Source organism: Homo sapiens, chromosome 12, assembly GCF_000001405.40.
Source record: "Homo sapiens chromosome 12, GRCh38.p14 Primary Assembly".
NCBI lineage: Eukaryota > Metazoa > Chordata > Mammalia > Primates > Hominidae > Homo > Homo sapiens.
This window is the reverse complement of record NC_000012.12, coordinates 93,698,706-93,712,504: the sequence shown is the minus strand read 5'-3', so window position 1 is coordinate 93,712,504 and position 13,799 is coordinate 93,698,706. Positions and strand designations below refer to the sequence as shown.

General features: G+C 40.8%; 1 protein-coding gene and 1 long non-coding RNA gene across 11 annotated transcripts in view, besides 1 other annotated feature; one reads left to right on the top strand and one right to left on the bottom strand.

Annotated features, from left to right (window-relative positions):
* Nucleotides 1-4,714, top strand: part of CRADD-AS1 (CRADD antisense RNA 1) — a 30,033-nt gene extending 25,319 nt beyond the window's left edge. Inside the window, exon 3 of the long non-coding RNA NR_110092.1 lies at nucleotides 3,422-4,714. This is a non-coding gene — a long non-coding RNA (CRADD antisense RNA 1). The remainder of the gene's footprint in view (nucleotides 1-3,421) is intronic.
* Nucleotides 1-13,799, bottom strand: part of CRADD (CARD and death domain containing adaptor protein) — a 217,466-nt gene that overhangs the window by 182,336 nt on the left and 21,331 nt on the right. The gene's annotated exons all lie outside the window — the stretch shown is intronic.
* Nucleotides 12,426-13,298: an enhancer, noted in NCBI's record as "OCT4-NANOG hESC enhancer chr12:94092983-94093855 (GRCh37/hg19 assembly coordinates)". NCBI's record gives its function as "activates a minimal SCP1, AML or CMV promoter by ChIP-STARR-seq in naive H9 embryonic stem cells {active_cell/tissue: H9 hESC(naive)}" and the evidence as "EXISTENCE:reporter gene assay evidence [ECO:0000049][PMID:30033119]".

Genomic DNA, 13,799 nt, shown 5'->3' with positions numbered 1-13,799 from the left:
GTTTTTTCTGGCCTGTTCAAAATAAATATTCCTGCCTTTCATTTATTGACTTTACGAGTACTTGTCAAGGACCTACTGTGTATGACAACACACTAGGAATACGGATGAGCTGTAAAAAAGATATGTAAATGCTGTCCTTGCTTGCAAAAGGCTGACACTAGCAATAAGTGAAAGACAATAAACTAGCATATAACTAAGCAGGACAATTTCAGGTAGTAAAGAATGATATAACAATAAAGCTATATTTGAGAGCAATATCATGCTCCAGATACTCTTCTAAATAGTAACTAGTTTAATCCTCTTAACAACTCTACGAAGTATGTACCTCTTTCATTAACCCCACCTTTATACATGAGAAAATAGAGAAAAAGAACAGTCAGTGCTAGAAAAAAACAGAACATAGGAACTGTGAGAGGGCGAGTGTCTAGTGCACTGTTAAGAGTCTAGGAGACCAGGTGTGGTGGCTCATGCCTGTAATCCCAGCACTTTGGGAGACCGAGGTGGGCAGATCACCTGAGGTCAGGAGTTCAAGAGCAGCTTGGCCAACATGGTGAAACCCCAATTCTACTAAAAATACAAAAATTAGCCAGGAGTGGTGGCTCACGCCTGTAATCCCAACTACTCAGGAGGCTGAGGCACAAGAATCACTTGAACTGGGGAGGTGGAGGTTGCAGTGAGCTGAGATTGTGCCACTGCACTCCAACCTGGGGGACAGAGTGAGACTCTGTCTCCAGAAAAAAAAAAAAAAGAGTCTAGGAGGGTACAAAAGGTTTTTATGAGGTCCTCTGGGCTGAGGCTTGAATGAAGAACCAGCCACACAAAGATCTAGGGTCAGAGTGTTCCAGAGAGAGGGAACAGCAAGTACAAAACCCCTAAAATGGGATGAATTTGGCAGAATGAACCTCAAGGGCTCAAGGAACAGAAAGAAATAAAATGTGGCTGATAAAGAGGGAGGGGAGAAGAGTAAGAGAAGAGGTAAAGAGGCAAGAGTGGGAGCTAATTTATGATGAGGAGTCTGGATTTTATTACAAGTACAATGAAATCCCCCCTCGGGTTTTTAAGCTGGAGAATAACATGATCTGACTTACATTTTTAAAAGATCCCTCTGCTTGCCTATGTGGGAAATCAACTGTAGGAAGCAAGAATTGAATCAGAGAAACAAGGACAGTGAAGATGGAAGCCAAGCAGCAGTTGAGTAACTCAAGCTTCCCTCTGCCATTTAACATTATCTCAGCCCAGAGCAACTGGCTTGTTTCCTTTTTGCTTCTTTTCCTGAGTTTACTTGTCCTGCTGATGGAGTCACTTGCTCTAGGTTACAGTAAGACCCAGAGAAGAGCTGAGGACCCCCTTCAGATTCCTTTGGCTTTTGATTTCAACCTCTAATATACCCAGAGGAACATGTACAACACAATATGAATGGCAAGTAAAGCAAAAAAAAAAAAAAAAAAAGGCGGGGGTGGGAGGGTGGGGTGGAGGGGGGCAGTCAATCAATGATCATCTTCAGCTGTGGCTCAATAAAGCCCAAAATGTTCAAGCAATTCACTCTATAAACAATTCATAGCTCAAAACCAAAGGGTTCAAATAATACTCAAAGGCCTTGGACTTCACTAATAATACCTATCTTTTACTGAAAAGATAATGCTAACAAATATCTAAGCATACTGAGGAGGACTGTCAGCAAACTTCACCACTAATCATTCTTCCTATCCCTGTCTGCGCATCCCAACTATCCCATCAAGAAGGGGCATTTACTTCCCCTCCCTTTGAATTTGGGCTGGCCTTGTGACTCATTTTGACCAATAGGATGTGATGAAACTGATGTGCCAGTTCTAGATCTAGGCTTCAAGAGAAATAGAAGCTGGCCAGGCATGGTGGTTCACGCCTGTAATCCCAGCCCTTTGGGAGGCCAAGGTGGGTGGATCACCTGAGGTCAAGAGTTCGAGACCAGCCTGGCCAACATGGTGAAACCCCATCTCTACTAAAAATACAGAATTTAGCCAGTGTGGTGGTGTGCACCTGTAATCTCAGCTACTAGGGAGGCTGAGGAAGGAGAATCGCTTGAACCCAGGAGGCAGAGGTTGCAGTGAGCCAAGATTGTGCCACTGCACTCCAGCCTGGGCAACAGAGCAAGACTCCGTCTCAAAAAAAAAAAAAAAAAAGGAAAAGGAAAATGAAGTAAAAGCTTCCTTATTCTCACACTTGGAACCCAGCCACCATGCTGTAAGGTGGCTGGTCTAGATACCAGGGGAAATGAGATATTATGGAGGAAAACTAAGGAACTCTAGTGCACAGCCAACAGGAAACATGAGAGTAAAGCTTTCTTGGGCATTCTAGTCCAGCCAAGTTCTGAAACTGAAAACATCTGCTGTATTAGTGATGCTAGCAGACACCACCACATGGAACAGAAAACCACTCAGCTGAACCCAGCCAACACACCAAATTGTGAGAAATAATAAACTGTGGTTTTAAGTCACTATATTTTGGAACATTCATGTGGAATTTCAACAGGTCAATACAAAAAGCTGGATATTCCAGACAGAAATATGAGCAGGAGAAAAGACAAAGAAATGGTATAGTACAGAATATTTTTCAAGAAAGGCAAGTTCTCCAATAACTGCCACCAGTCATGAACCAGCTATTCTAGTTAAAATGAACCACTTGTGGAAAGTACTATGGCTCAAAGACCTAAAAGCAGAACTACCATTCGACCCAGCAATCCCATTACTGGGTATATAGCCAGACGAATATAAATCATCCAACCATAAAGACACACACACATGAATGTTCACCGAAGCACTATTCACAACAGCAAAGACATGGAATCAACTTAAACGCCCATCAATGACAAACTGGATTTAAAAAATGTGGTACATATGCACCATGGAATACTACACAGCCATAAAAAAGAATAAGATCATGTCTTTTGTGGGAATATGGATAGAGCTGAAGGCTAATTACCCTTAGCAGACTAACTCAGGAACAGAAAACCAAATACTGCATGTTCTCACTTTTTAGTGGGAGCTGAATGGTAAGAACATATGAATACAAAGAAGGAAACAATAGATACTCGGGTCTACTTGAGGGGAGAGGGTAGGAAGAGGGAGAGGAGCAGAAAAGATAACTACTGGGTACTGGGCTTAATACCTGGGTGATGAAATAATCTGTACAACAAACCTCTGTGACACATGTTTACCTACCTAACAAACCTTCATATGTATTGCCAAACCTATAATAAAAGTTAAAAATAAAGAAAAAAATAAATCACTTCCTGTGCAAGCCCTATTACAATGCTTACATATTCGCAAAATGGTTTGCAGGACTCAGAGTTGTAAAATAAGGACCCCTGGTGTCAGAGAGCTGATGCACATGATCTATGAATATATTATGTAACTTTCTGCTTCTCTTTCACTCTGCCTTGCAGGCATCCAGCAATATCATCTATTCTCCACTTTGCTAAATCTTACCTTTGGCAGAGCCTTCATGAACAAGATTGGTACCCATATAAAAGAAGCCCGAGAGAGCTATCTTGACCCTCCTACCATGTGAAGACACAACAAGGTACCGTCTATGAACCAGGAAATGGGCCCTCACCAGACACCTAATCTGCTGGTGCCTTGATCTTGGACTTCCCAGCTTCTAGAACTGTGGGAATTAAATTTCTATTGTTTATAAGCTACCCAGTTTACACTACTTTGTTCTATCAGCCCAAAAAGCACACCCTGTTTCAAGATTCTGCATTCATTTACTCATTCATACATTCAACCATATTTTGTTGGGCACCAATGATGCCAGGCACTACTCTAGGTGCTCAGGATACAATAATTAATAAGGCAGACAATGCCCTGGCTTCATGGAGATAAATGTGTTGATGAACAGGAAGTAGATAGAGTGGTCAGAGAAGGCTGGTGGAGAGCACAGTTGACCAGAGATCTGATGGAAGTGAGAAAGCAAACTATGGGAATATCTGGAAAAAGAGCATTCCAGGCAGAGGAATGAGCAAGTGGCAAAGATCCTCAAATGCCTATACTTCCATGGAAGAAGGCCAGTGAGTGAGGAAAAGAGAGGTAGCAAAGGGGATCAGAGAGGATACAGGGATCCAGATCTCAAAGGGACTTGTAGGTAATGGCCACCACTTTGGACTTCATGTTTTCGGAGTGACGGAAAGTCCCTACAGCCTTTCCCAGCCCCTAGCTAAGCCTCTATTGATTACTTCTCCTTCTTGTGCTCTTATCACCTGTACTTTTATTTACCAGTTAGTCTATATTCCATGGATTTCTATTCATCTCTTGTGTATCAATTCTATGTCCTCAACTATGTCTCAACGGCAAGAATCAGTCATATTCTCTTCTGTATTCCCAGGGCCTGGCACCTAACAGATGCTCAATAAATCTTTCCAGAAGGTGATAATGATGATGTAATCTCTTAGAATCTTTTCTAGCTGTTAAGATCCATGATGCCTTTGAACTCTCTCAACAAACTAGTTTGCACAATGACTCAGAGGACTGACATCTTTCTAGATATTTTGAGATTATATTCATGCCACTTTTAGAGTCTCCATCCATCAAATGACTAGAATGAATTACATCAGAGTTTTGTCTAAATGAAGGCTGTGCCACTTGGAATGGGATTCCCTTACATGGAACTACCTACTAATATTTGCACTTTAAGCCACCTGAACCTCAGGAGAGTAATAAATTGCTATTAAATAAATGCTATTCTGATGTGATCTCATCACTAGCCATTAATGATGGCCTCAAATCCTTTGTTTCTTCTCCCAATGAAAAGTGAAGGATAATGCTACTCCCCTCCCTGACCCCCTCCTGACCCCAAGTCTGGGTTGAATTTAGTGACTTACTTGACCAATAAGCAGGAGAACTGGTGTTCTGGGACTTATGAGTCTACATCCTGAGAAACCTTCAGCCTTGAAGCTTCCATCCTCACATTTTGGGAAACCCAGCTCCCATGCTGAAAGAAACCTAAGCCACATGGAGAGACCACATGCTGGGCCCCAGCTAAGCCCCCTGCCCAGAGCCACGCACCCCAGTCAAGGCACCAGACATCTGAGTCTGAGATCTCAAAAGTGGATCCCCTATCCCCAGATTCCTCAGCTGACACCATGTGGATCAGAGACAAACTGCCCAGCTGAGCCCTTTCTTAATTCCTAACCCACAAAATCATGACCAAGGTAAAATGGTTATTTTAAGGCACCAAGTTTTGGAGTGGTTTATTATGTAGCAGTAGATTTAAAAAAGCAAAAAACAGAAACAGAATTATATCACTACTGATCCAGAACTCACAAGAGTGCCTTCCTCCCAATCATTTATAAAATTGACAGACGGACACAGTCTGAGGTTTAACCAAGGTTCAATGACTGCTTTGCCCAGAGATTTGATCCATGACAAATGACACAGACAAATGAGATGACTTTGAATGGGTATCCTGAATCAATCATACTAATAGAATTTCAGGCCAATTAAAGTCATTTGAAATGTAACCAAAGTAAAAGCCACGGCATCCATTTGGATTGTAGAGGTCACAGAATTAGGCTATTGGCCAAATTATACATATTTTTTCACTCAAGTCACCCTGCTGGCAAGAAAATAATTTATTACACTACTTAAATACATGGATAGGACTTAAAACAGAAATGAAATGCACAATTCTATCATAAAGTTAAAAAGATCTAGCTACTAAACAATGATTGCATGCAATACTAAGAATTTCTGAAATGATTTTCAATCGGATGCTGCCAGAATAGAAAACACTCAATTGCAAATAGTCCTCTCCTTTAGAACATCCTTTATTTGTACAAACAATTTTTATTATGAAAACAAAAGCTCCCCAAAATGAGTAGGCAGTTTTACCCCCATCAGTATGAATATCACTTCTCCCAACAGCTATCACTTCAGGCCCTGTGAATAAGTGGCTTCTGATAAAACAGCACACTCATTTCATGTTGCTCCTCCTCCCTCTCCCCGACTACCTTCAAGACATATTTGGCTCTCCAAAAAAATACAGAACCATTAAGTGGACCCAGGGAGAAGAGTAAAGGTAACACACACACAAAAAAACAAATTTTGGTAGCAAATGCTTTAGAGCATCAATTTTTCATATAAACTATTATCTTGAACTATGTCTAATCATAGTCTATCACCCACATTTTTCATACTATGAATTCACACTCACCATTGGTACATTTTAAAGAATCAACAAAAGAAAATAATGACTCAAGAAAACACCCTGAAAGCTAAGGGCATGGCAATGTGAAAATGGTAAAATGCTTTTAAGAGAAAATATCATCTTCCAACTTCATATTTGCACATATTTGCTTGAAAGTACATATTTGCTTCAAAAATCATTCATTAGCAATAACAACAATAAAACCATAACAAAAGAAACCAAAATGTCAACACTTGTCTCATTGGCAGCTATACGAGTACATGTATTTTTTATAAGACAAGTCCAGAATAAGAGAAGAAAAACATATTAACTTCTGATGAGAATATTTAATGAAAAAAATAACCATTGCCTTCACACAGAAACTACTCCTTCAGCAGCAGTGAATCATTAACTCCGAATAATACATGTTTAAAAACATGTACTCATGTTCCTATACTACATCACATTTCCAAAACTGCTTAAAAAGCAAAAGTAGATGGTAATGCCGCGAAAGCAAATTTAGTGACATTCTGGTTATGTGGCTCTGACAATCAAATGAAAGTTCAACAAGAATTTAAGAAATGAAGCTGAGGATATAAATCATGTTTTTTTTCGTTTAAGTGAGAACATCAACAGCTCCATCTGTTCCAGCTCTAGGAGCCATTACTGACACATTAAATTCCAAAGAAGAGGAAGGCCTTTAGGTTAACAAGGAAAGCAAGTCTGATTAAATGTCAAACCACATGATACTAAGCTTCTTGCACCTTCTGTATCACCAAGAAAGTCAAACCCTGCTCAATGCTAATGCAAAAGCACTGCTGATGAGGGAAAGGAATGTATTTCCAATGCATCTCTTCCGATCATTAAGGTCATCTGTCTAATGTGTTCAAGGCAGACAGGAGACTGTCCCTAGAGCACAGAAAACTTATCTTTCCCATCTGAAATGGTCCTGCCTCAGGAAAAGAACTTTTACTAAAACATGACTACACAATAGGCAACCTGTAGTACACAGAAATTTAATCATAAAAGTTCCCTTCAGAATCCCAAAAAATTAATTTTAAACATTTCATTTAATTAAGTAATTTTTTCAATTTCAAAATCCTCTGTGATGATCTGGTCCATAAATGCATCTGCTCAACACATAATTATTGATGGGACAGGCACTGTCCTGGGGTCTGGGGATGCAGGATAAACCAGGCAGTTAAAGCTGCCCTACTTCTGAAAGAGCTTACAGTCTAGAGAAGGGAAATTCGCTTGTCAAGTAACAAGTCCAATCAAGTGCGGAGGATAATTCCAGATAGTGTTAAATGCTGTGCAAGAAACAAAACAGGATAATGTTGCAGAAAGTGACTTGGGAGGTGGCTAATTTGATCAGGCAGGCCTCATCAAGGAGGCCTGACACCTAAATTACCAGAGGGAGCCACTTATTAGAGCAAAACTGGGAGCAGGGCACACCAGGCACAGAGAACGGCTAGGCTGGAACAAAGGCCTCGAGGTGGGCACTGACTTGGCCGACTGGAGTGACAGAGGAGGCCTGTGCTGGGCTACAGGGAGAAGGCAGGGAATGGTAGATGTGACTGAAGAAGCCAGCAGGAGTCCCCAGGTCACGGTGTCCCTTTTGGGCCCTGGTGAGGAGCTCTGATTCTCAGTGCAATGTAAAGTCCTAGGAGGAGGTTTTAAGCAGAGGAATAACAAAGTCTGATTTCTATTTTTAAAAGATGGCTCTGATTGCCATGTGGAAAACGTTTTACGGGAAAGTACATGTGGAGGCTACTGCAGTAATCCAGGCAAGGGATGGACTCAAGTAGACAGATTTGGGGAATGTTGTAGAAGACTTGCTAATGGAATATACAGAAGGAAAGAGGGTAGGTACAGCAAAGAAGGAAACAAGGATGATGCCTAAGTTTTTGGCTAGAACAATGTGGTAAAATACAGATGGTGCCTTTTAAAATACAGTACACAGAAGGATGTTTAGAGAAGGGAAAGTGGAAATCAAGATTTGTTTCATTTAGCTCACTCATTTCAGAGATGAGTACATGATGTACCAAATATGTAAATGACTTAACCAAAGAAGTTTAACTGCCTAGTTGAAGAGCTGGAATTAGAACCTGACTTTCTACTTTCTAATCCAGTAGTCTTTTTGTTAAGAGTATTAAATTGAGATTTCCAGATTAAATAATTTCCAGTTTTGCTATTATTAATTATTCACACAAAGGCTCCAAATAGGCCAGGTGTGGTGGCTCACACCTGTAATTCCAGCACTTTGGGAGGCCAAGGCAGGCAGATCCCTTGAGCTCAGGAGTTCAAGACCAGCCTGGGTAACATGGTGGAACCCCCATCTCTACAAAAAAAAAAAAAAAAAAAAAAGAAAGGCTCCAAATAATTTGACGGTAAGTGAGCATTAAAAATCAAAAGCATGTATGAATCTACAAAGGTAATAAAATTTCACAGAACTACACACACTAAAAACAGATTGCATGTAAAACCTATTCCAATAAGGTCTGTTCTTGAATTACTAGTATTGCACCAATGTCAATTTCCTGCTTTTAACAATGTGCTATGATCATGTAAGATATTATCATTGGGGGAAGCTGAGTGAAAGGTACCTGGGATCTCTCAGTACTATTTTTGCAACTTCTTGTCTTAAATTATTTCAAAGTAAAAAATTATTTTTTAAAAAAAGAGGCTGGGTATGGTGGTTCCTGCCTGTAATCCCAGCACTTTGGGAGGCTGAGGTGGGCAGATCGCTTGAGCTCAGAAGTTCTACACCAGCCTGGACAACATGGTAAAACCTCGTCTCTACAAAAAAATACAAAAATTAGCCAGGTGTGGTGGCATGCGCCTGTAGTCCCAGCTAACTGGGAGGTTGAAGTGGGAGGGTTGCTTGAGCAATGCTTGAGGCAGAGGTTGCAGTGAGCCAAGATCACGCTGCTGCACTCAAGCCTGGGCAACAGAACCAGACCCTGTCTCAAAAAAAAAAAAAAAAGAAAAAGAAAAAGAAAGTAAACTTGCCCAAGAACACAGAACCAAGGGAGACTGCCAAAATTTGAGACTTCATCAACTGATTTGTGGTTGACTATACCATAATTTTTATTCAAATATTGTTTAAATTAAAAGGACTTTTTAAAAAAAATCAACACCTAATGGCACCTACTTTCTTTCTTAGATAAAGAGAAACTTCTTTTGTGACCTTTGGAAGGTAATCAGTCTTTGGCTGGATCTGTTTTCTTCCACACTCAAGAACACAGTCAGCATGCAGTCAGCGATCTAGGAGCCAAAATCTGCATTTGGCTGGCTTTGGGAGTCTATATTAGGTGTAAAATGCTGTTCTAAAACAATTAAAATGGCAATGCTTTCATTTCCTGACTGGATTGAACAAAACAACATAAATGATTTAAGCCATTTGTGAAATGAATCGGAAGGGAATTTACCAAAAAGGTGATTCTGTCCAATTTAACCAAGGCCACAGCTCTCAAGAGCCTCCAGAGAACTCTTGATATTGCTAAAAGGCTGGCAACTACATCCTCAGTTACGGGACCACCAGAGCACCTGTATGGTGCACTTGCCTGAAAAGAATTGTGTTTTGGTGGGGGCTGGGAGGGTAGAGAGAATGGAGGTAAAGATTGGGGGTGGTGGAACAGTGTGATCAGTGTTCTAAGAAGCCTGGAGCCAAGAAAACCCAGAAAAGGAGTCAAAGAACAGGTTGAATTGTTTCCGTCTTACAAGAGAAATTGCAGAGTTTAGAGCATTATATCTCGTAATGCCACATTCAGATACCACCTAGCATTTGGGATTCTCAGTTCCTCCCAAAGCCTATCACCATAAAGCCTAGCAGCAGCACCAACTGAAGCTAACTCAGGATGGATTTTCTTAAGGTGAGAAACAGAATGAATGTCTCTATGTCAACTAAGATCTGGGGAAATCTGGTGGATGTGGGGCAGTTAATGATGTCAACACCCTGGAAGACAGGAGTTGAAGTGATGGTTTTTTTTCTCTCCCTAGGCCAGCTCCCTTATATTCAGGGCTCATGCACCTACCCTGCCAAGCCCAGATTCAAAGCCTAGATATCAAGATCATCCAACAACTCGTCCCTTTTCTCTTTACCTGTCTTCTAAACACATCAATTCTTTATTTGAGCCAAAAAGTCTATTTGCTTTCCTTCCCTCACAGCATGCACTCATTTAAGATTTAAGAACCTACTTTTTTAAAGGTTCTGTGATGGCTGCAGCAGATGTGAACAAGGCATAGTCCCTGACTTAACTCAAGGGGATGGCATTCGATGGTGAGAGGGAGCTAGGGAAGCGTTAGATAAGTTTACCGGTATCTATGTTAAAACATGGAGAAAGATCATCACAAAAATCTGTGGAGGTTCAAAGAAAAAAAAAAATCCCAGATGAGGAGAATGTGGAAAAGCTTCTGGGAAAAGAAAGGAATTAGGCTCTGAAGAATAGATAAGATTTTGAGAAGCAGAGATTAGAGAAAGTGGGGTGGGGGGAAATTATAGTCCAAAAAAAAGAGCTCAGGCAAATGCCTACTGAAAAGACATTACAACATCATTGTATCAGTGGGGGAGAGATAACAGCTCCTCTCTCATCCTCCAAAGATAGGTCCAGATCCAGGTAATTTCCTCCTTTGCCAGCATAGAGAATGTTACTCACTAACTGAATCATATTCTCAGGAATTTGGAATCTTCAAAGCAGTAAAAAGTTGTGGTCTCCTAGAAACTCTTTTCTTCCCAGAAGTTCAAAGAACTAGCATTTGACGAAAATGTCTTTTTCATGTTAGCTTCCTTTTTGTCTTCCTCTCTCTGAGTCTCCCTTCTACTCTGCTAGCACTATTCCCACAAGGGACAAGATGGCCTGGGGCTCCAGCAGCCAGTTAGGACCATGAGGGAATCTTGAGAGTGGAAATCACGTGCCAAGGATGGCAAAGCATAAAGAGAGAAGAAGCCTTGGCCTCTGGTAACTGTGGAGCAGTCACACCAGCCCACAGCCCTGGAGACTACTTACAGATTGTGTGTGTGTGTGTGTGTGTGTGTGTGTGTGTGTGTCACAGAGAGAGAGAGAGAAGGATATGGAGGAGAAACAGGAGGAAGAGGAGGAGAAGGGAAAAATAAACCTTCCATCTTGTTAAAATCACTGTCATTTGGGTTTTCTGTTAAATGTTGCCAAATCTAATTCAATAATTAATATAGATAAGGTCGGGCCATATTACAGAAGGTCTGAAATGAATTTAAAAATGTCTGAAATTAATTTTGTAGACAATGAGGAAAATTTAAATATATTTTAAGAAAAAAACAACATCTTTTATTTGAGCACTTGCCATTTGTCCAATAGCACTAGGTCCCTGCCCTCTGGAAGTTACAACCTATTATAGAGAAGCACACCAAATAGGAGGTGCAAGATGCTCAGAAGCGCATGAGAGAGGACTTAATCCAACATAGAAGGTATGGGAAGGCTTCCTGAAAAAACACCTAAGCTAAAGCCCAAAGGAGGAACTGGAGTTAACGTGGCAAAGAGAGAAGTAAAAACATTCACACTATAGGCAAAGACACTCAGGCAAAACAAAAATCAAACAAACAAAACCCAACAGCACAGCACATTAAAAAACAAACTGGACCGGATGCGGTGGCTCACACCTGTAATCCAAGCACTTTGGGAGACCAAGGCGGGCAGATCACGAGGTCAGGAGATCGAGACCAGCCTGGCTAACAAGGTGAAACCCCGTCTCTACTAAAAATACAAAAAATTAGCCGGGCATGGTGGTGGGCGCCTGTCGTTCCAGCTACTCGGGAGGCTGAGGCAGGAGAATGGCGTGAACCCAGGAGGCAGAGCTTGTACTGAGCAGAGATCAAGCCACTGCACTCCAGCCTGGGTGACAGAGCCAGACTCCATCTCAAAAGAAAAAAAAAATTACTGAAGGAAGACAAATTTGGCTAGTATGCAGAAGAGCAGCTCTCCAGAGAATGGCACAATGGATGCTGGAATGGTGTGCAGGGGTCACAGTGATAGGAAGAAAGCTTTGGAAGACAAATCTGGCAGCTTCTCTGTACAGGCAAACCAGTTACAAAGTAGTTTGGAGAAGCAATAAAAGCCTAAAGTAAGTGGCAGGTGCATAACTCAGAAAACCATGACATTGACGGAAATACTGAGGGCAGGAGCAGGACCTAGATTTAGTGAGAAAAACTCATTCCATCTGCAACATGCTGGGTTTAATGTTCTAGCAAGGCATCCTGAGATGTCAGGGAAGTACTTGGCGTCTCCTCCATCTGGACTGGCTTCTTCCCCTGGAACCAATGACTCTACCTTCCATAAAACCCAGATTCACCTTCGAAGCACTCCCTACTTTATTCCCTTCCCCGCTGAGATCGCTCCTTCATGCTGCATGCTCTGCTGAAATTCCATTCACTTTGTAGGCTGCTAGTACATGTTCAGAATTCGTATGCATGTTACCCCTCTCTTACCATACAGACTTCAAACTCCTTGAAGGACAAGGGCTCTCTAGCTTCTATTTCTGATGGAATGCTTTTGATACCTTTTAGAGCCCACAGCACTCTACGAGCACTTAAAATGTTATATTCCTTAGGGGATTGAGAACCTAATACAGGCTACACTTCTAAACAACAGACAGAAATATTAATAGTACAATGGCTATCTCAGGGAATGGGAAGAAATTCATACCCTGGCGTAGCATTACTCATCAGAACGTTTGAGTCTCAATGACAAAAGATTTCCTTCAAAGGAGGTGAAAACAAAGACAAGGTGGGGGGATGTAAAAAATACATTAAATACCTAATGGATGGGAACAAAAGGCAAATGCTTCATGACTGCAGACCTTGCTTAATGCTTTCTGTGGTTAGTATTCAAATGCTAACATTATCTCATCATGCCAATACTTAAAAATCTTGAGACTAAACCATGAGTAAATACACAGGATAAGCTGAAACTAAATCCTCGTGTGAATGTGCAGAGCACAAAAGGGTTTTATCTGTTTGGTTTATCTAATTCTTTTTCTCTTATGTACAATTTTAGAAATGAAAGAAAAGCTTCAATGGCCCTGGTATGACAAATCTCTTCTGGCAAAATCTAACTCAAAAAATGGCAAAGATAATGATATATATTCATAGGAAAAGTTTACCCTGAAGAAAGGCCTCCCCAGTTTTGACTCTCAAAACAATTTTAGAACTAAGCATTTGCTTTAATCCAGCACTCAGTTAGGCACCAAGTAAAGAAAGGCAAATAAAGCTGATTCCGGTCATAAGAAAAAAACCAAAGCTTTTTTGGGAAAAGCCACAGGTTTTTTTTCTGGTTTCTGGCCTTTCTCACTCTATACCAGGGGTGGTAGGCTTTTTCTGTAAAGGGCCAGATAGTAAACATTTTAGGTTTTGTGGACCATAAGGTCTCTGTTGCAGCTACCTGACTCTGCCCTGCTGGTGTATTGTGAAAGCAGCCAGAGACAACGTGTTAACAAATAAGCATGGCTGTGTTCCAATAAAACTTTATTTATAGACACTGAAATTTGCATTTCATGTGATTTTCAAACATCATGTAATCTTCTTTTCTTTTTCAACCATTTAAAAGTGCACAAACTATTTTTAGCATCTGAAGGATATAAATATATTTTAAAATGACACTGGCAGA